Source organism: Homo sapiens, chromosome 7, assembly GCF_000001405.40.
Source record: "Homo sapiens chromosome 7, GRCh38.p14 Primary Assembly".
NCBI lineage: Eukaryota > Metazoa > Chordata > Mammalia > Primates > Hominidae > Homo > Homo sapiens.
The window spans coordinates 23615234-23638968 of record NC_000007.14 but is presented as its reverse complement, the minus strand read 5'-3'; the positions used below and the strand labels follow the sequence as shown (position 1 = coordinate 23638968).

The following is a 23735-nucleotide window of genomic DNA, read 5'->3' as shown; positions in this document are numbered from 1 at the left end:
AATACTGGATCTCCTTTTCCATGGCAATCACCTCCTTTATAATATTAAAAGAAGTAGCAACCTAAAATGGGCAGGGGACAGTCTTTTTTTTTTTTTTTTTTTTTTGTTAATTTATTATTGTATTACATCATAATCAAACAACATATCACCTATATGAAATCAAACATTTTTTAACTTGTTGAGATTTTTTTTCTGGCAGACTACTGCTATAGATCTTTTTGGTTTTTTTTTTTTTTTTTTTAATTTTTTTTTTTTTATTGATCATTCTTGGGTGTTTCTCGCAGAGGGGGATTTGGCAGGGTCATAGGACAATAGTGGAGGGAAGGTCAGCAGATAAACAAGTGAACAAAGGTCTCTGGTTTTCCTAGGCAGAGGACCCTGCGGCCTTCCGCAGTGTTTGTGTCCCTGGGTACTTAAGATTAGGGAGTGGTGATGACTCTTAACGAGCATGCTGCCTTCAAGCATCTGTTTAACAAAGCACATCTTGCACCGCCCTTAATCCATTTAACCCTGAGTGGACACAGCACATGTTTCAGAGAGCACAGGGTTGGAGATAAGGTCACAGATCAACAGGATCCCAAGGCAGAAGAATTTTTCTTAGTACAGAACAAAATGAAAAGTCTCCCATGCCCACTTCTATCCACACAGACCCGGCAACCATCCGATTTCTCAATTTTTTCCCCACCCTTCCCGCCTTTCTATTCCACAAAACCGCCATTGTCATCATGGCCCATCCCCAATGAGTCGCTAGGCACACCTCCCAGACGGGGTCGTGGCCGGGCAGAGGGGCTCCTCACTTCCCAGTAGGGGCGGCCGGGCAGAAGCGCCCCTCTCCTCCCGGATGGGGCGGCTGGCCGGGCGGGGGGCTGACCCCCCCACCACCCTCCCGGACGGGGCGGCTGGCCAGGCAGAGGGGCTCCTCACTTCCCAGTAGGGGCGGCCGGGCAGAGGCGCTCCTCACCTCCTGGATAGGGCGGCTGGCCGGGCGGGGGGCTGACCCCCCCACCTCCCTCCCGGACGGGGCGGCTGGCCGGGCAGAGGGGTCCTCACTTCCCAGTAGGGGCGGCCGGGCAGAGGCGCCCCTCACCTCCCGGACGGGGCGGCCGGCCGGGCGGGGGGCTGACCCCCCCACCTCCCTCCCGGACAGGGCGGCTGGCCGACCCCCCCCTCCCCGCCTCCCTCCCGGACTGGGCGGCTGGCCGGGCAGAGGCGCCCCTCACCTCCCGGACGGGGCGGCTGGCCGGGCGGGGGGCTGACCCCCCCCACCTCCCTCCTGGACGGGGCGGCTGGTCGGGCGGGGGGCTGACCCCCCCACCTCCCTCCCGGACGGGGCGGCTGGCCGGGCAGAGGAGCTCCTCACTTCCCAGTAGGGGCGGCCGGGCAGAGGCGCCCCTCACCTCCCGGAAGGGGCGGCTGGCCAGGCGGGGGGCTGATCCCCCCACCTCCCTCCCGGACGGGGCGGCTGGCCGGGCGGGGGGCTGACCCCCCCACCTCCCTCCCGGATGGGGCGGCTGGCCGGGCGGGGGGCTGACCCCCCCACCTCCCTCCCGGACGGGGCGGCTGGCCGGGCAGAGGAGCTCCTCACTTCCCAGTAGGGGCGGCCGGGCAGAGGCGCCCCTCACCTCCCGGAAGGGGCGGCTGGCCAGGCGGGGGGCTGATCCCCCCACCTCCCTCCCGGACGGGGCGGCTGGCCGGGGCGGGGGGCTGACCCCCCCCACCTCCCTCCCGAACGGGGCGGCCGGCCGGGCGGGGGGCTGACCCCCCCACCTCCCTCCCGGACGGGGCGGCTGGCCGGGCAGAGGGGCTCCTCACTTCCCAGTAGGGGCGGCCGGGCAGAGGCGCCCCTCACCTCCCGGACGGGGCGGCTGGCCGGGCGGGGGGCTGACCCCCACCACCTCCCTCCCGGACGGGGCGGCTGGCCGGGCGGGGGGCTGACCCCCCCTCCCCCTTCCCGGACGGGGCGGCTGGCCGGGCAGAGGGGCTCCTCACTTCCCAGTAGGGGCGGCCGGGCAGAGGCGCCCCTCACCTCCCGGACTGGGCAGCTGGCCGGGCGGGGGGCTGACCCCCCCACCTCCCTCCTGGACGGGGCGACTGGCCGGGCAGAGGGGCTCCTCACTTTCCAGTAGGGGCGGCCGGGCAGAGGAGCCCCTCACCTCCCGGACGGGGCGGCTGGCCGGGCGGGGGGCTGACCCCCCCCCCACCTCCCTCCCGGACGGGGTGGCTGCCGGGCGGAGACGCTCCTCACTTTCCAGACGGGGTGGCTGCCAGGCGGAGGGGCTCCTCACTTCCCAGACGGGATGGCTGCCGGACGGAGGGGCTCCTCACTTCTCAGACGGGGCGGTTGCCAGGCAGAGAGTTTCCTCACTTCTCAGACGGGGCGGCCGGGCAGAGACGCTCCTCACCTCCCAGACAGGGTTGCGGCCCAGCAGAGGCGCTCCTCACATCCCAGACAGGGCGGCGGGGCAGAGGTGCTCCCCACATCTCAGACGATGGGCGGCCGGGCAGAGACGCTCCTCACTTCCTAGATGGGATGGCGGCGGCGAAGAGGCGCTCCTCGCTTCCTAGATGGGATGGCGGCCGGGCAGAGACGCTCCTCACTTTCCAGACTGGGCAGCCAGGCAGAGAGGCTCCTCATATCCCAGACGATGGGGGGCCAGGCAGAGACGCTCCTCACTTCCCAGACGGGGTGGCGGCTGGGCAGAGGCTGCAATCTCGGCACTTTGGGGGGCCAAGGCAGGCGGCTGGGAGGTGGTTGTAGCGAGCCGAGATCACGCCACTGCACTCCAGCCTGGGCACCATTGAGCACTGAGTGAACGAGACTCCGTCTGCAATCCCGGCACCTAGGGAGGCCGAGGCTGGCGGATCACTCGCGGTTAGGAGCTGGAGACCAGCCCGGCCAACACAGCAAAACCCCGTCTCCACCAAAAAAAAAACGAAAACCAGTCAGGCGTGGCGGCACTCGGCAGGCTGAGGCAGGAGAATCAGGCAGGGAGGTTGCAGTGAGCCGAGATGGCAGCAGTACCGTCCAGCTTTGGCTCGGCATCAGAGGGAGACCGTGGAAGGAGACCGTGGGGAGAGGGAGAGGGAGAGGGAGAGGGAGAGCAGGGGACAGTCTTAACTCATTAACAAAATGAAGCTAAAAGCCTAGAAGGTTTGACATTAAACTGAGGTGTGAGAATTATAAAGGTGCAGTCTAATCACTTATTTCAGTCAGGGTTAGAAATTGGCAATTAAAGAAAAAGTCAGGATAAATGAGAAACAACTATATGATAACTTTACAATGTTCTAAATTATTATTAAATACAGAGCTTTTAAATTTTCTAAAATCAACTGTTTTAATATTACAAAAAAAGAGACTAAGAGATTATATCTATCTTTCTCCATGACATAAAATCACTTCATTGAATATCAGAACAAAACTCTTATTTCTTGGAGTTCTTTCAAATACACCAAACATCCTCCTTTCTCTATATTCACAATACAATTTTATGTTTACATGTCATGAGATGACATCTTTAAGGGAATTCTATGCTTGTATTAATATTATATGTGCATCCATAATACTTTCCCCCATAAAGCTCTGTCACTGAAGGTGCTAGCAGTAAGAACCCCTTCCCTATCTTAGACCTTGAACCCCTAAAAGCAACTTGGAAACAGAGATCCTATCCTATCTATCCTTTTACTCTCAGCTCACCCAGCTTGGTGCTTCATCACACAGTAGACACTCGACAAATGTTTGAAATGAACATTTGCTGAAGGTCTAATTCACATGTTTGGTAGGTGGCATCATCACTGAGATAGAAATGAAGGATCCAATTTAGAAAATAAACCACTTTAAGGTTGCTCTGTTTCTACTTTAACTTCCTTATTCTGGGAGAAGATCAAATAGTTTAAGAAGGGAAAAGAATCACATAAAAACATAGACCTAGCCTGATTATTTCATAGCACACAAAAATCAAAAGAAGGGTATATGATGCTATTAAGTATGCTAAAGATATTGGGTATAAAAAGATTCTAACTATGCTAAACATAATCAGTGATTATAAGGCACAGCAGGAAGCTACTATCATCCCTTTAACTGTGGAAGAGAGGGAGAATGTAGTGATTTACCAGAGGCCAAGTCCAAGGTCACCTCGTGGAAAAACAGAACCAAGGCAGGCTGTCTGGCAGAAGGTAACACTACAAAACAATCATGGGTACCGCCAGAGACCCCACCTGAAGAAGAGACGGAGGGGAAAAAATACCTTCCCTTCCTCCTACTTTCCAAATTCCTCCCATACCTCCCACTGGCTGAACCCAGGCAGAAGCCAGCTGATTTGGGAACTTGGAAAATGCCACCTACTGGAATCGCTCACTCTTCCTTGAGAAATAGAACAGAGAAAGGGTAAGGAATAAATCTGAGGGCAACCAGCCACAGTACTGGCACAAACATAAGCACACATGCTCTTGCAGACCCCCTACTTATGTCACATGTCTTTTATGTTTTGTTTGTTTGTTTGTTTTTTGAGACATGGTCTTGCTCTACTTGCTCTATCGCCCAGGCTGGAGTGCAATAGCACAATCATGGCTCACTGCAGCCTCGACCTCCTGGATTCAAGTGATTTCCTCCCACCTCAGTGCCCCCTCCCCACCCCCTGCCAAATAGCTGGGACTACAGGCACACACCACCATGCTGGGCTAATTTTTGTAGAGACAGGGTTTCACCATGTTGCCTGGACTACTCTTGAACTCCTGGGCTCAGGCAATCCATCCACCTCAGCCTCCCAAAGGGCTGGGATTACAGGCGTGAGCCATCAGGCCTGGCCGTACTTTATCTTTTTATACCTAAATATTGTTTCCTGGTTTGTACTCTTAATGTCAGCTGCCTCAAATCTATTTTGTAGAGAGGCAGGTCTAAATAGATAAACCTGTATGTACACACAGAAGGAATAAAACTGTTGTAAAATGTAAAATGACACAGAAGTGTTTCATATACATTGAACAAGTCAAACACTTTTCCTTATTAATATTTTTCAAATTCAAATCAATACTTTACCACCACTAAATATCAGCTTAATGGTGCAAGCAAGAAAATTTAGAAATCACTTCTTTTCTTTTTTCTTTCTTTTTTTTGGATACAGGGTCTCACTCTGTCCCTGCCCAGGCTGGAGTGCTGTGGTACAATCTCGGCTCATTGCAGCCTCGACCTCGGGGCTCAGGAGGTCCTCCCACCTCAGCCTACCAAGTGCTGGGATTACAGGTGCCCACCACCACACTCAGCTACTTTTCTGTAGAGACAAGGTTTCGCCATGTTGCCAGGCTGGTATCGAACTCCCGATCTTAAGTGATCCTCCCTCCTTGGCCTCCCAAAGTGCTAGGATTACAGGCATGAGTCACCACACCCAGCCAGAAGTCGCTTCTTGGTTATCAAAGTGAGTTACCCAGTGTAAAGTTTTACTATGAAGCTACTAGCAGTAAAGGAAGAATGCTTCCAAAGAAATACAAACTAAATATCATAGCAAAGAGAACACCATAGGTAAAAGTGCTTTCAAAGACCTCATCAATTCTATGATTAAGTGTACATTCATTGTTTAATCTTTTGTATTTTTAATATAGCTACCTTCTCCCACTCAGTGCTTAATAAATTATGTCACTCAAGAATTACTTTATTACTTCTCTTCTTAAGATTGCAAGGCAGGGCCGGGCACAGTGGCTCACGCCTGTAATCCCAGCACTTTGGGAGGCCGAGGCAGGCGGATCACCTGAGGTTGGGAGTTCCAGACCAGCCCGATCAACATGGAGAAACCCCTTCCCTACTAAAAATACAAAATTAGCTGAGTGTGGTGACCCATGCCTGTAATCCCAGCTACTCAGGAGGCTGAGTCAGGAAAATCGCTTGAACTCAGGAAGTGGAGGTTATGGTGAGCCGAGATCGCGCCATTGCACTCCAGCCTGGGCAACAAGAGCGAAACTCCGTCTCAAAAAAAAAGGACTGCAAGGCAGTTTAGATCACATGAGTGAACTAAGGTAAGTTCTCATCAGACATTAAATACAAATACCTCAGTTCCTAAAATAAGCCTAATTTTTCCTAAGAAATGCTATATAATGGCTTTGCCTAAATGATACAAATCACCATAAATAGACTACGTCTTAAATATCTACATCAAAATCATATCTAATAGGAATTCTGAGATTGACTTTCCTTTAACGTATCTGGAATACAAGGACCACGCATTTTACAGGTTTGGCTTTGGGTTTTTTCCTTAATTGTTAAATTAACTTTTTGTTTTGAGATAACCGTAGATTTACAAAGAGTTGTAAGAAATAATAAATACAAAAATTCCAATTCCCTTTGCCCAGTTTCCCTACAATGGTAACATCTTGCAAAACTGTATACAATATCACAACAAGAATGCTGACATTGATAAGAGTTAAGACGCAGAATATTTCTATCACCACTAGGATCCCTATGTTGCCCTTTTACAGTAAAACCCACTTGCCTCCCATTAATCTGTTTATTTGGTATATGGTATTACAATGATTGATCTTCAAATACTGAACAGCTTTGCATCTTTGGAATAAATGCCACTTTGTGGCCAGGCGTGGTGGCTCATGCCTGTAATCCCAGCACTTTGGAAGGCCAAGGCGGGCGGATCACTTGAGGTCAGGAGTTCCAAGACCAGCCTGGCCAACATGGTGAAACCCTGTCTTTACTAAAAATACAAAAATTAGCCAGGCATGGTGGCAGGCACCTTGTAATCCAAGCTACTTGGAAGGCTGAGGTGGGAGAATCACTTGAACCTGGGAGGCAGAGGTTTCAGTGAGCTGAGATCACACCACTGCAGTCCAGCCTGGGCAACAGAGTGAAACTCCATCTCAAAAAAAAAAAAAAAAAACCCACTTGGTGTTTAATTTTCTTATATGCTGCTGAATTGTTTGCTAATATTTTCTTAAGAATGTTCACATCTATATTTGGGGGAATTTTGATCTGCAGTTTTTATTTTTTATACTGTATTTGCCTAGCTGGGTGTAAGGATAAAACTAGCTTTATAAAATGAACTAGGAATTGCTCCTTCCCCTTCTATTTTCTGGAAAAGATTGCATTAAAGTATGCTAATTCTTCTTTAAACTGCAGAGAAAATTCTCCAGCAAAACCATCTGGGCCTACAGATTTTTTTTCAGGGTGGGGGGGGACTTTTAAATTATAAATTAAATTTCTTTTTTTTTTTGAGACAGGGTCTCCCTCTGTCACCCAGGCTGAGGTGCAGTGGCTCCATCTCTGCTCACTGCAACCTCTGCCTCTAGGGTTCAAGCAATTCTCCTGCCTCAGCCTCCTGAGTAGCTGGGATTACAGGTGCACACCACCACGCCCGGCTAATTTTTTTGTTTTTAGTAGAGACAGGGTTTCAGCATGTTGGTAAGGCTGGTCTTGAACTCCTGACCTCATGATCCACCTCGGCCTCCCAAAGTGCTGGGATTACAGACGTGAGCCACCGCACTTGGCCAAATTTCCTTAACAGTAATAGGGCTATTCAAATTATCTATTTCATATTGGGTGGATTGCGGCAATTTGTTTTTTGAGAAATTGATCCATTTCATCCAAGTTATCAAATTTATGTGTCTTAGAGCTGTTCACTGTTCATTATCCTTTTGATATCTGCAGGGTCTGCCCTGATATTCATTTTTTCATTCCTGATGTTGGTAATTTATGTCTTTTTTCTTTTTCAGTCTTATCATAAGTTTGTCCCTTTTTTTTGACCCTATTAAAGGACAAGTTCTTTGTTTCATTGATATTCTCTACTGTTTTTGTTTTCAATTTCATTGATTTCTGCTTTTATCTTCACCATTTCCCTTTTTCTGCTTGCTTTGGATTTAGTTTGCTTTTCTTTTTCTAGGTTCTCTAATAGCTTAGATTACGGATTTGAGACTTTTCCTCTTTTCTGATTTATGCACTTAGTGCATAAATCTAAATTTCCCTCTCAGCACTGCTTTAGCTGTGTCCCACAATTTTTTATGTTGCATTTTCATTTGTATTCATTTCCCTTGAGATTTCCTCTTTGACTCATTATTTAGAAGTATGTTGTCCAGTTTCCAACTATTAGAGATTTTCCTATCATCTTTCCATTATTGATTTCTACACTGTGGTCAGAGAATATACTCAGAATGATTTCAATTCTTTTAAGTTTGTGAGGCTTGTTTTATGGCCCAGAACAAGGTCTACTTTGGTAAATATTCTATGGACTTTTTTTTTTTTTTTTTTTTTTTTTTTTTGAGATAGGGTCTTGCTCTGTCACCTAGGCTAGAGTGCAGCAGCATGCTCATGGCTCATTGCAGCCTCAACCTCCTGGGCTCAAGGGATCCTCCCACCTCAGACTCCCTAGTTAAGAGCTCCTGTTCTCAAGCAATCTGCCCACCTTGGCCTCCCAAAGTGCTGGGGTTACAGGTGTGAGCCACCACACCCAGCCTTCATGGATGATTGATTGATTGATTGACTGAAACAGTCTCACTTTGTCACCCAGGCTGGAATGCAGTGGCACAATCTCGGCTCACTGCAACCTCTGTCTCCCGGTTCAAGCAATTCTCATACCTCAGCCTCCTGAGTAGCTGGAATTACAGGCGTGCACAACCACAAGCAGCTAATTTTTGTATTTTTAGTAGAGATGGGGTTTCACCTTTTTGGCCAGGCTGGTCTTGAACTCCTGACCTCAAATGATCTGCCTGCCTTGGCCTCCCAAAGTGCTGGGATTACAGGCGAGAGCCACCACACCCTGCCTCCATGGACTCTTGAAAAATGTGCATTCCACTATTGTTGGAATGTCATATATATATATGTAAATTGGATAAACAGAGCATTCTGCATATGTCAATATGTAAACTTTTTATGTACAAATTTTAAAACTTGTCTTTCATAGGTAAGGCTGGTCTCTTTCCTTTTTTCTTTTTTCCAAATTTTAATTATTATGTTGTCTTGGCATGAAATTCTTAGCATGGGTTTATCCCGATTGGGGTTTGCTCAGCTTCTTAAATCTGAGGACTCTGTCTTTTGCCAAATATGGAAATTTTACAGCATTTCTTCAATTGCTTTTCCAGCTCTGCTCTCATTCTCTTCTCCTGAAATTCTGATGACACAAATGTTAGATTTTTAGTTATGGTCCCAGAGGTTCTGGAAGCTCTATTCTTTTTATTTATTTTTGTCTGTTTTTCTCCCTGTTATTTGGATTGTGTAATTACATTGTTCTATCTTCCAGTTTACCGATTCTTTCCTGTCCCCTCCATTCTGTTGTTGAGTCCATTTGCTGAACTTGTTAATTTAATTGTATTTTTCACTTCTAACATTTCCATTTGGTTTTTGTTCATATGATCTATTTTTCTCCTGAGACTTTCTATTTTTTTTTTTGAAGGTGTCTTTTTCATTTGCTTCATATTCATTAAATGCTCTTTGGAGAAATTTTATCATAGCAGCTTTAAAATCTTTTTCAGATAATTCTAATATATCATTGTCTTAGCCTATTCAGGCTGCCATCACAAAACACCACAGACTAGGTAATTAATAGAAATTGATTTCTCACAGTTCTGGAGGCTGGAAAGTATACACTATCAAGGGGCCGGCAGATTTGGTATCTGCTGAGAGCCTGTTCCTCACAGATGGTGTCTTCTAGGTGTCCTGACATGGCAGAGGGGTGGAAGAGACAAGGTAGCTCTCTGAAGCCTCTGTTTATAAAGGGCATTAATCCCATTCATAAGGGTAGAGTCCTCGTGACATGATCACCTCCCAAAGACGCCACCTTCTAATACTACCAAATTAGGTTTCAACATATGAATTTTGGAGGGACACATACATTCAAACCATAGCAGTCACTGTCATTTTTCATTCAGTCTGAGACCTTCCTGGTTCTTGGTATAAGTGATTTGTGTTTGAAATTTGGACATTTTCATATTATGAGACTCTGGATCTTATTTAAACCTCCTGTTTTAGGTGGTTTTCTCTAACACCACTCTGGCAGGGGAGGGGTGCCACCTTGTTACTGCCAGGCAGAGGCAGAAGTCCAAGTGCCCCATTCAGCTTCCACAATACTCAAGGGTGGTGGGCTCCTCACTCTGCTGGGTGGAGAAGGGAGTTCCAGGTCCCCATGTACTCTCCACTGACAGTGTGGTGGGGATGGCCTCATACTCACTGGGGATGATGAATGTCCTGACTCTCCACAGGCTTCCCCTGACATCACACCAGAGGGAAGGGAGATGAACAGTTCGTTACTGCCATGTGGAGGTAAAGTCCTGATTCTCCATGTGGTCTCCACTGGTCCCATGAGTACAGTGGGGGCAGTTCTCACTCCTGGCTGGCTGGCAGGGGTGACATTTCCGGCTCCTACTGCCTTCTCTAACACCTCCATGGCAGGAATGTTGTATGCCTCACTGTAGCCTTGAAAGGATAAAAGTCTAGGCTTACCACTTGGCCTTTGATCAGGTAGCTGGTAGTGCAGCAACAGTTTTTTTCTGTGATGTTTGGCTAGAGGAGAGCTGTTATTGACTACAAGTTTTCTAGCTTGCTAGGCTGCCTTTTCTTGGCTAGAGAGAACAGGCTTTTGTTGGGGCTTTTTCTGTCTTTGCCTGTTGGCAGTATCTAGGTTGCTGACTTCTTCAGCTCCAACTCTGAAATACACACAGGGAACATACCACTGTGTCACTCCTGGTCTCCTGAGGTCCCTAGACTGTCTGACTTTTTCTCCTCCAGAGTCTTATATAAAATGTCCAAGGCTTTTGGTTGTATTTGGATGGAAAGAACAGGGGAGAGATGCATAACATAGATGAGGATAGATCTCCATTTTCCTAGAAGTCCCCGGTGTGAGAAATTTTTAAAACTGGTTTTCTTCAAACTATAAAAGATAATCTCCAATAGCCTGCTTCTGAAAATGCTTATAACACTGTTTTCCATTCATTACTTATACAATAATTTATATATTTTTAAAATGAATTAAAGAAATTTTAATCTTGGTCATTTTACTAAGGAAAATTTTTGCTGGATTTGTGTGCAAGAGCAATAATTTTTAAACTATTATTTTCTGAAGAACATTTAAATATTAACATTAAATTATTCTCCTGGCTGGGAGTGGTAGCTCATACCTGCAATCCCAGAACTTTGGGAGTCCGAAACAGGACTGCTTGAGCCCAGGAGTTTGAGATCAGCCTGGGCAACAGAGCAAGACCCCATCTCTTAAAAAAAAAATTGGCTGTGTGTTTTGGTGCACACCTGCAGTCCCAGCTTCTAGGGAGGGTGAAGCAGGAGGATCACTTGAGCCCAGGAGGTCGAGGCTGCAGTGAGCCATGATCGTGCCACTGTACTCCAGCCTGGGTGACAGAGCAAGACCCTATCAAAAATTATTCTCCTAAAATATTTATACAGTCTTTCTTTTTTTTTTTTTCTGAGACAGAGTCTCACTCTCGTCACCCAGGCTGGAGTGCAGTGGTGCGATCTCAGCTCACTGTAACCTCTACCTCCTCGGTTCAAGCAATTCTTGTGCTTCAGCCTCCCGAGTAGCTGGGACTACGGGTGCCTGCTGCCTACCTCAAGTGATCCACCCACCTGGGCCTCCTAAAGTGCTGGGATTACAGGTGAGCCACCGCAACTGGCCTTTTTTTTTTAGAGCCAGGGTCTCACTATGTTGCCCAAGTTGGTCTCAACTCCTGGCCTCAAGTGATCTTCCTGCCTCAGTCCCCCAGAGTGGTGGGATTACAGGTGTGAGCCACTGCACCTGGCTGGCATCTATTTTTTATTTAAAGTGTTCAGCTACACTGATAAAGAGGAAAGCCAAAACCCTTAAAAGAAAGCAGGGTCAGTCGGAAAGCCTGATGTGGTTAAGGACTGGTGTTGCTGGAGATTCAGAACCAGGTGTAGGAAACCATGCACCAACTGCAAAGTGTTCCAGAGCAGTCAGTGTGAAGCTGGAGCAAGTATTCCCAATTCATTGTTCTAGGCAAATCACAGAATCCAACAGAGATAATATTACATAGGAAGAAAACAAAATTCCATCACAGAGGACTAAGAATGTGGAGGAAAAGATATAAGGTGGATGGAAATGATTATAGATTAAAGAGAAAGCACACATTAACTGTTCAAAATGTACAGGTCATTATAAAGTTGAATTAATCTGTCCACAGTCTTCAAAACAGTAACAATTTATTATAGACTAGCATTTTTAAAAAATATTAGCTAATGCAGAAACAGAAAACCAAATACTGCACGTTCTCACTTCTAAGTGGGAGCTAAATGATAAGAACTTACGAACACAAAGAAGTAAACAACAGACACTGGGTCTACTTGAGTGGGGAGGGTGGGAGGAGGGAGAGGAGCAGAAAAGATAACTATTGGGTACCAAGCTCAGTACCTGGATGATATAATAATATGTACAATGAACCCCCCAAGACACGTGTTTATCTATATAACAAATCTTCACATGTACCCCCAAACCTAAAATAAATATTTTTTTTAATTTCCATTAAAAAATATATTAGCTTATGTTTATTTTACCAACTGGAAAAAATAGGATAAACAGCTCAAAAGAGGTCCATTCAATAAATATTTTTGATTGACTAGCTTATTTGTATAGTAATGAAAGGCTATGGATAAATGGTTTCTATAGATGGCTAAATGTTTAAGTTATTGTAGAATTCTAATCTTATTATAATTTGTACTCCTATTTCAAATTAATGGAGCCAAGGAAGAAATTCAAATAATGAAACTAGAATAACTGGCTAACTCATCTGGAGAAAAGAAGCTGCATCTTACTGCTTACACCAGAAGTCCCAACTGTATTACAACTATAAATGTAAAACAAACAAAAAACAACAAAAAGCATAATACATTAGAATATAAGTTATGGAGAAAAAAATTTTCAGCACAAAACTAAATCATAAAAAATGTATTTTACTACATAAAATTTTAAAACAGCACACCCAGTTATTAGGCAACTGAAAATCAAAAGAAAAACCTCTGTAACACATGACAGCATTAGCATCTTTATAAAGAATCAGTCAAGGCCAGGAGCGGTGGCTCAAGCCTGTAACCCCAGCACTTTGGGAGGCCAAGGCGGGTGGATCACGAGGTCAGGAGATCGAGACCATCCTGGCTAACACAGTGAAACCCCGTCTCTACTAAAAATACAAAAAAAATTAGCTGGGCGTGGTGGCGGGCGCCTGTAGTCCCAGCTACTCGGGAGGCTGAGGCAGGAGAATGGCATGAACCTGGGAGGCAGAGCTTGCAGTGAGCTGAGAGAGCGCCATTGCACTCCAGCCTGGGCAACAGAGCAAGACTCTGCCTCAAAAAAAAAAAAAAAAAAAAAAAATCAGTCAAATAAGAAATAAACAAATTTCCCAGCAGAAAAATTGTCGTGACTCAAATAATTCACATTCTCATATGTACAAGAAATACAAACAGCCAACAAACATTTAAAAAAATCTTTTAACCTCCCCTGAAAGCAAATAAATCCAAAAGCAAACAACTAAATGCCATTTAAAATTAAATAGAATTGGTCAAAGTCTGCATATAAATGGTCACCTTCCCACTGACGGGAAAGTGGTATAGTAAGAATGTAAATTGGTAGAACCATTCTGGAGGGCAATCTGACAAATGTCTATTAAATTTAACGTGTGCACATCCTTGACCCCAAAATTCCACAATTAGGTAATCTATTCTTAAACATTCACACAAATATGAAATACATATACACACACATATATTTCATACACACAAATACACCACAGCACTAAATAAAACACACAAAAAAAGTTCAGCACCAAATTATTGATCATTAGGGAAGTAAACGAAAGACATTTATAAAATGAGATAATAGGCCAGGCATAGTAGCTCACATCTGTAATCCGAGCACTTTGGGAAGCCAAGGTGGGAGGATCGCTTGATTCCAGAAGTTTGAGAATATGCCGGGCAACACAGTGAGACCCTGACTCAACAACAACAACAAAAAATTAGCCCGGCAGGGTGGAGCACACCTGTAGTCTCAGCTACTTGGGTGGCTAAGGTGGGGGGATCACCTGAGCCCAGGAATTTGAGGTTATACTGAGCTATGATCACTCCACTACACTCCTGCCTGGGCAAGAGCATGAGATCCTGTCTCAAAAATTAAAATAAAATGAAATAATATTGTCATTAAAAAGGATAAAATAGACCTATGTGTATAAAATGGAAGTATATTTACAGTAACTTAGTGAAAATAAATAAGTTGCAAAACCAACATGTACAGTACGATGCCATTTTTGTTCAAAATAAAGCAATGTGTTGGAATATGCGTGCATAGGTACCACAGGTTGGAAAACTACAGCTGAATGGCCACCTATCTTTGAAAATACAGTTTTATTAGGAAATAGGCATGCTCATTTATTATAACAGACACCATATACAACCCACAAAACTGAAAATAGTTATGACATAGCCCTTTAAGAAAATATATAGCCAAATGCTGATATATACCAAATTAACTGAAATTACCTCTGCTCTGCTTTTGCTTATTTATGTTATCTATTTCTATAATATCTGGCTGGCCAGGGTGGCTCATGCCTGTAATCCCAGCACTTTGAGAGGCCGAGGTGGAAGGACGACATGAGGCCAGGAGTTTGAGACCAGACTAACCATCATTATTTCAGGAAAATCATCATGAAGGGAAGAAGGAAAAATATGTGTCCAGGGCATTCCCAGGTAAAGATGGTGAAGTGAACACAGGCATTTAGAATAAGCTTAGTCTAGGTACCCACAGAAACAGTAAACTGTTTTTCTCTTTATGTTTTTAAGCACAAATCCACAAGGCTAAAGATAACAAACAAGAAAGGAGACCACAGTAACAAAACTCCAGGGCTGAATGGTAACTGACTTAGCAGACCTGAGAAAGCTAAATCTTTAATGAGAAGTAAGAAAAGCCAGGAAGCAATCCTGTTTTCTCCACAGAATCCTACCCCGAAAGGTCCCAGAAATTTTACACCATGTACTACTGAAAACAGAGGTAAAGAAAGGACTAAAAACCTAGAAGGACTAGGTGCAAAGTTCTGGGATATATGTGCAGGATGTGCAGGGGGTTTTTATTCCTAAAAAGATACAACAAAAATTTTTTACTACAAAGCGACAATTTATAATTGTATAAATTTATGGGTTACGAAGTGATGTCATAAATTGTGGATACAATATGGAATAATTAAATCAAGCTAGTTAACATATCCAATACTTCAAATATATTTCTGTGATGAGAACATCAATTTTGAAATGTATAATACCCCATTATTAAGTATATGCACCACACTGTACAACAGAACTCAATAAAGTATAAAACATATTCTTCCTGTCTGAGATTTTGTACCCTTTGACCATCACTAAATTTTTTTTTTTTTTTTTTTGAGACAGTCTCACTCTGTCACCTAGGCTGGAATGCAGTGGCACAACTTCGGCCCACCACAACCTCTGCCTTCTGGGTTCAAGTGACTCTCCTGCCTCAGCCTCCACAGCAGCAGGGACTATAGGCAAGCAACGCCACACCTGGCCAACTTTGTATTCTTAGTACAGATGGGGTTTCGCCATGTTGTCGTGGCTGGTCTCAAACTCCTGACCTCAGGTGATCCGCCCACCTCGGCCTCTCAAAGTGCTGTACCACAGGCATGAGCCACCATGCCTGGTCTAAAATTTTTATGAGACAAAATATCAATTCCAAAACAGCATCAAAAAGTGAGCAGGCCAGGCACAGTGGCTCATGCCTGCAATCCCAGCACCTTGGGAGGCTGAGGCATATTTTTCTGTAGTAAAAATACAAAAGTTTTTGTCTCTACTAAAAATACCAAAAAAAAAAAAAAAAATCAGCTGGGCATAGTGGCGCGAGCCTGCAATCCCAGCCAGTTGGGAGGCTAAGGCAGGAGAACCGCCTGAACCCGGGAGGCAGAGGCTGCAGTGAGCTGAGATTGTGCCATTGCACTCCAGCCTGGGCAACAAGAGCAAAACTTCATCTCAAAAAAAAAAAAAAAAAAAAAAGAGTGAGCATATTTAACCATCCTCAGCTCACAGCAGAGCAAACAGGTCAACAGAATAATAATTCATGTTACTGCATGTGTAATGAACTCGCAACAAGAGAACATTGGTTGCAGAAAGGCAGAGGAATTGTGTCTTGTAAGATTTAGAATGGAGGGGCTCTGTAATCATCTGGCAACCATTCAATGTTGTATCTATGGTTAGAAATGTACATGACAGGAACTCCAGGAATCTTAAGGGTCAACTGTGGCCACAATGTAACATTTATGCTGAGCTACTCTCTGTACTAAGCAGTCATCTGCATAGGTTCCTTTGTGTGTACACAGTACAAACCTTGGATCCTTGGCTATCCTTAGAGCCACTCAATACTTCTGCCCCAATTTCTCAATTTCAGCCATTACACAATCAGTTACACAAGGGATACACCTGGCATACAGACAGTCCATCGTTGACTGCACTAAATCCAGTTTCGCTTTTAAGGAAAAGTTGATAAAGTTGGTATCAGAGAAGAGTCAAATAGACGCAATAAAAAATGATAAAGGAGAGATCACCACTGATCCCACAGAAATACAAACTACCACCAGAGAATACTATAAACACCTCTACACAAATAAACTAGAAAATCTAGAAGAAATGGATAAATTCCTTGACACATACACCCTCCCAAGACTAACCAGGAAGAAGCTGAATCTCTGAATACACCAATAACAGGCTCTGAAATTGAGGCAATAATTAATAGCTTACCAACCAAAAACAGTCCAGGACCAGATGGAGTCACAGCCGAATTCTACCAGAGGTACAAGGAGGAGCTGGTACCATTCCTTCTGAAACTATTCCAATCAACTGAAAAAGGGGGAATCCTCCCTAATTCATTTTATGAGGCCAGCATCATCCTGATACCAAAGCCTGGCAGAGACACAACAAAAAAAGAGAATTTTAGACCAATATCCCTGATGAACAACAATGCAAAAATCCTCAGTAAAACACTGGCAAACCGAATCCAGCAGCACACCAAAAAGCTTATCCACCTTGATCAAGTGGGCTTCATCCCTGGGATGCAAGCCTGGTTCAACATACACAAATCAATGAACATAATCCAGCATATAAACAGAACCAAAGACAAAAACCACATGATTATCTCAATAGATGCAGAAAAGGCCCTTGACAAAATTCAACAGGCCTTCATGCTAAAAACTCTCAATAAACTAGGTACTGATGGAACGTTATCTCAAAATAATGAGAGCTATTTATGACAAACCCACAGCCAATATCATACTGAATGGGCAAAAACTGGAAGCATTCCCTTTGAAAACTGGCACAAGACAGGGATGACCTCTCTCACCACTCCTATTCAACATAGTGTTGGAAGTTCTGGCCAGGGCAATCAGGCAGGAGAAAGAAATAAAGAGTATTCAATTAGGAAAAGAGGAAGTCCAATTGTCCCTGTTTGCAGATGACATGATTGTATATCTAGAAAACCCCATCATCTCAGCCCAAAATCTCCTTAAGGTGATAAGCAACTTCAGCAAAGTCTCAGGATACAATATCAATGTGCAAAAATCACAAGCATTCTTATACACCAATAACACACAAACAGAGAGCCAAATCATGAGTGAACTCCCATTCACAATTGCTTCAAAGAGAATAAAATACTTAGGAATCCAACTTACAAGGGATGTGAAGGACCTCTTCAAGGAGAACTACAAACCACTGCTCAACGAAATAAAAGAGGATACAAACAAATGGAAGAACATTCCATGCTCATGGATAGGAAGAATCAATATCGTGAAAATGGCCATACTGGCCAAGGTAATTTATAGATTGAATGCCATCCCCATCAAGCTACCAATGACTTTCTTCACAGAATTGGAAAAAACTACTTTAAAGTTCATATGGAACCAAAAAAGAGCCCGCATTGCCAAGTCAGTCCTAAGCCAAAAGAACAAAGCTGGAGGCATCACACTACCTGACTTCAAACTATACTACAAGGCTACAGTAACCAAAACAGCATGGGACTGGTACCAAAACAGAGATACATACCAATAGAACAGAACAGAGCCCTCAGAAATAATACCACACATCTACAACTACCTGATCTTTGACAAACCTGACAAAAACAAGCAATGGGGAAAGGATTCCCTATTTAATAAATGGTGCTGGGAAAACTGGCTAGCCATATGTAGAAAGCTGAAACTGGATCCCTTCCTTACACTTTATACAAAAATTAATTCAAGATGGATTAAAGACTTAGATGTTAGACCTAAAACCATAAAAACCCTAGAAGAAAACCTAGGCAATACCATTCAGGACATAGGCATGGGCAAGGACTTCATGTCTAAAACACCAAAAGCAATGGCAACAAAAGCCAAAATTGACAAATGGGATCTAATTAAACTAAAGAGCTTCTGCACAGCAAAAGAAACTACCATCAGAGTGAACAGGCAACCTACAAAATGGGAGAAAATTTTTGCAATCTACTCATCTGACAAAGGGCTAATATCCAGAATCCACAAAGAACTCAAACAAATTTACAAGAAAAAAACAACCCCATCAACAAGTGGGTGAAGGATATGAACAGACACTTCTCAAAAGAAGACATTTATGCAGCCAACAGACACATGAAAAAATGCTCATCATCACTGGCCATCAGAGAAATGCAAATCAAAACCACAATGAGATACCATCTCACGCCAGTTAGAATGGCGATCATTAAAAAGTCAGGAAACAACAGGTGCTGGAGAGGATGTGGAGAAATAGGAACACTTTTACACTGTTGGTGGGACTGTAAACTAGTTCAACCATTGTGGAAGGCAGTGTGGCGATTCCTCAGGGATCTAGAACTAGAAATACCATTTGACCCAACCATCCCATTACTGGGTATGTACCCAAAGGATTATAAATCATGCTGCTATAAAGACACACGCACACGTATGTTTATTGCAGCACTATTCACAATAGCAAAGACTTGGAACCAACCCAAATATCCAACAATGATAGACTGGATTAAGAAAATGTGGCACATAGACACCATGGAATACTATGCAGCCATAAAAAAGGATGAGTTCATGTCCTTTGTAGGGACATGGATGAAGCTGGAAACCATCATTCTCAGCAAACTATCGCAAGGACAGAAAACCAAACACCGCATGTTCTCACTCATAGGTGAGAACTGAACAATGAGAACACTAGGACACAGGAAGGGGAACATCACACACCAGGGCCTATTGTGGGGTGGGGGGAGGGGGGAGGGATAGCATTAGGAGATATACCTAATGTAAATGACAAGTTAATGGGTGCAGCACACCAACATGGTACATATATACATATGTAACAAACCTGCACATTGTGCACGTGTACCCTAGAACTTAAAGTATAATAAAAATATATTTTTCTTAAAAAAAAGAAAAAATAAATAAAGTTGGTATCAACAAGGATGTAGTAAGGTGGGCCCAGCTGTGCATTACATTGGAAAAATAGGCAGGAAGGGTGTTGGGGAACTTCTCTTTCCTTTAATGCGCTGGGATCCTTTTCTTCTTTCTTTGTAGGTTTTAATCTATCCTTTTCTTTAAGCCTCTGATCTCTGAGTTTAAGCATGCGCTTCATGGTTGCATACTTCCTTGTGTTCTTTTGCTTCCCTATGGTCACGCCACACTCCTGTTTCTTCAGATGTGCAGGTTTGTTACATAGGTAAACCTGCGCCATGGTGATTTGCTGCACCTGTCAACCCATCACCTAGGTAGGTATTAAGCCCAGCATGCATTAACTATTTTCTATGAAGCAATTCATCCTTAAATTCTGTGCACCACTCCAAAACCTCCCCCACTGCAGAAGATCTGAGATGTATTTTCTTAAGGGGATAGAGCAGTTGAGGGCCTGGGTTTACACTGGAAACTGGAAGAGTAAATGAAGGTAGTGAGTGCTGAGATCACTCTTCCTTGCCCAGCCTTTTTCTCTCGCTCAGATCCCAGAACACTTACAGGCCTATACTCTCCAGCAACAGACAGGAAGTGCTTCTCCAGGGTATCTGACCAGCTCAACAGGAGAGACCTAAATATACTGATATTAGAGATCATCTCAAAGGAATAAAATACATTGATACTGTGTAATAAAAAATTTAGGCCAAGCGCGGTGGCTCACCCCTGTAATCCCAGCACTCTGGGAGGTGGAGGCAGGTGGATCACATGAGGTCAGGAGTTCAAGGCCAACCTGGCCTTGAACATGGTAAAACCTCATCTCTACTAAAAAACATAAAAATTAGCTGGGCGCGGTGGTGCATGCCTGTAGTCCCAGGTTCTCGGGAGGCTGAGGCAGGAGAGTCACTTGAACCCAGGAGGTGGATGTTGCAGTGAGCCAAGATTGCACCACTGCACTCCGGCCTGAACAACAGAGCAAGACTCTGTCTCAAATTTAAAAAAAAAAAAAAAAAAAAAAAATTTAGCTGATCTTTGTCTCCAGTTGTTGGGAGGTAGCCACTAAGTGCCTGGAATTTCCTGAGTGACGAATGTCTTTATTAGTCATGGTAGGCCCCTGGGACCACATCTGTTAGTTTACCTTAAGGAGGCAACTCAGAGTGGGGCTCTAGATATTTTGTGCTAATGGGAAGACCCAGAATGGGGGGTTGGGGAGCTGGCCATGTCAGAAAGGACAACCATGTGATTAGAGAGTTGGGGATTTTCAGCTGACTTCCAGGGAGGGGAGGAGGGGTGGAGATTAAGTTCAACCACGTGGGCAATGATTCAATCATGCCTACATAATGAGACCCCAATACAACTGTACATTGAAGTTCAGGTGAGATTCCCTAGTTGGCAATATTCTGCATATTATCACACACTGATGTGTGTTGGATATGCCAGGAGGGTAATGTGTCCTGGTTCTATGAAGAGAGGACAACAGAAACTGCATCTCGTACCCTCCCAGACCTTGTCCTATGCGTATCTCCCTTTGGCTGGCTCTAGCATCTATCCTTCTTCTACACTAAAACTGTAATAGTAAGTATACTTGGCTCTCTGTATCTGTAGGGAATTGGTTCTAGGACCCACCACGGATACCAAAATCCATGGATTTTCATGTCCCTTAGTTAGATCTCTGTATCTGTGGGTTCTGCATCCACAAATTCAATTACAGATTGAAAATAAAGTATTTATATCAAAAGTGACGCACAGTACTTTTCAGTGAGTTTTACAGGTCAATCTAGTGAATTGTCAAACATAAGGAGGTAATAACCCACAAATTTGTAGCCACTTGATCAGAAGTGAAAGTGGCCTGGGAATACCCTAACTAGTGGCTGGTGTCTGAAGTGAGGGCAGTCTTGTGGAGCACTGTGCCCTTACTGCAGGCTTAACTGCAGGTAGTTGGTATGAGAAGTCATTATAAATATTAAGGATATACCCAAAGAAATGTCCCAGCCAGATCATCCTATAGTGAATACCACACAAAAGCTCAGCATTTGCCATCAACCTTTTAGTGCCTCATTTCTCAAATACAGACAAAGAATAAGGATCACCAGATATATTTGGAAGAAACATAAAAACGCTTCAGAAAAGCTACCATTGATAACCTCAGAGATGTAACAAAAGACAGCTTTTTTTTTCCTTTTCTTTTTTTTTTTTTTTTTTTTTTTTTTGGAGACAGCATCTCACTCTGTTCCCCAGATTAGAGAGCAGTGGTGCAATCTTGGCTCACTGCAACCTCCGTCTCCTGGATTCAAGTGATTCTCCTGCCTCAGCCTCCCGAGTAGCTAGGATTACAGGTGTGTGCCACCACGTCCAGATAATTTTCGTATTTTTAGTAGAGATGGGGTTTCACCATGTCGGCCAGGCTGGTCTCGAACTCCTAACGTCAAGTGACCCACCTGCCCAGCCTCCCAAAGTGCTAGGATTACAGGGGTGAGCCACCGCGCCCAGCCCAAAAGATAGCTCTTAGAAATTAAAAATATTAGATGAGATTAAAAACTCCGTAAAGATCTGGAAATTAAGCTAAGGAAATCGTCTCAAAAAATGAAGTAAAAAGACAGAAATGGAAAATAAATAAGGGAAAACTGGAGGACAACAGTCCAGAGAGCCCAAATGCTGGAATTAACAGAATGCCAGAAAGAGTGAATGAAAAACATAGAAATCAAATTAATAAATTAAGAAAATATCCCAGAATTGAATGACATAAATTGCAGGATGTCCCACTGAGGGCCCAACACATGTACGAAAGAGACCCATACCCAGTCACATCACTGAGAAATTTTAGAATGGTGTGGGACACAGACCTTACAAGATTCCAAAAATTAAGTCACATAAAAAGGATAAAGAAGAGCATCAGCTTCTCAAAAAGAACACTGGAACCTAGGGGGATGAGGAGTAAAACAGAACAGAGCAGAGCCTTTAAAATCTCAAGGAAAATTATTTCCATCTCAAGGAAAATTATTTCTACACCCAGCCAAACTTACAATGAAGCATGAGGGTTGAGGGGAAAAAGATCTTTTCAAGATATACAAGAATTCAAAACTTTTACCTATCTGCATCTTTCTCAGGAACCTACCAGAAGATCTGTTCCCTTAAAATCAGGGGATAACCAATAAAGAGGAAGCTTAAAAATTCTAGAAAATAGGAGATCCAATATAATAGAGGAGTAAAAGAAATCTACAAGATGATGACAAATTGTGATCTTAAAACAATTCACTGCTGCAATCCTAGAGAGCAAACAGTCCAGGCCAGAGATGACTGGAAGGCATCAGGAAAGATTTCTTCAATATAAAGAAAGTGCTAAAATACCTAATGTGTCTGAATATGCTAGGAGAATATTTAAACAACTGTAGGGGGATGCAGTAGAAAACTAGGCAAAGAAGCAAAAATCGATACTTATTAAACTCTAGGGTGAAAAAGTTTATAGGAAAGTAACCATAATGTAATAGAGGAATACATTGTTTTATTGCACTTCACTTTACAGATATTGTGTTTTTACAATTGAATGTTTGCAGCAACTCTGCATGGAGCAAGTCTATTGGTGCCATCTTTCTAACAATATCTGCTCACTTTGTGTCTCTGTCACATTTGGGTAATTCTCATCATATTTCAGACTTTTTCATTATTCTTGTATCTGCCATGGTGAGCTGATCAGCAATTGCTGATGCTACCATTGGAACTGTTTTGGGACACCTTGAATTCTATCTATATAAGACAGCAGACTTAATTCATAAATGTTACATGTGTTCTGACTGCTGCATCCAATGGCCTTTCCTCTGTCTCTCTCCCTCTCTTCAGGCCTCCCTATTCCCTTAGACATAACAATATTGAAATTAGGCCAATTAATAACCCTACAATGGCTTCTAAGTGTTCAAGTGTAAGGAAGAGTCCCTCTTCTCTCACTTTAAACTAAAAGCCAGAAATGATTAAATTTAGTGAGGAAGGCATGTTGAAAGCTGAGATAGGCTGAAAGCTAGGCCTTGTGCCAAACAGCCAAGTTGTGACTGCAAAGGAAAAGTTCTTGAAGAGAATTAAAAGTGCTACTCCAGGGAACACATGAACAATAAGAAAGAAAAACAGCTTTACTGCTGAAATGAAGAAAGTTTGAGTGGTCTGGATAAAACATCAAACCAGCCACAACATTCTCTTAAGCCAAAGCCTAATCCAGAGCAAGACCCCAACTCTCTTCAATTCTATGAAGGCTAAGAGAGGTTAGGAACCTGCAGAAGAAGAGTTGGAAGCTAGCAGAGGTTGCTTTTGAGGTTTAAGGAAAAAGCCATTTCCAT

General features: G+C 43.8%; 1 protein-coding gene and 1 pseudogene across 2 annotated transcripts in view; both read right to left on the bottom strand.

Annotated features, from left to right (window-relative positions):
• CCDC126 (coiled-coil domain containing 126) overlaps positions 1-23735 on the bottom strand; it is a 47327-nt gene that overhangs the window by 5740 nt on the left and 17852 nt on the right. The gene's annotated exons all lie outside the window — the stretch shown is intronic.
• On the bottom strand, positions 16076-19661 carry FCF1P1 (FCF1 pseudogene 1; annotated as a pseudogene).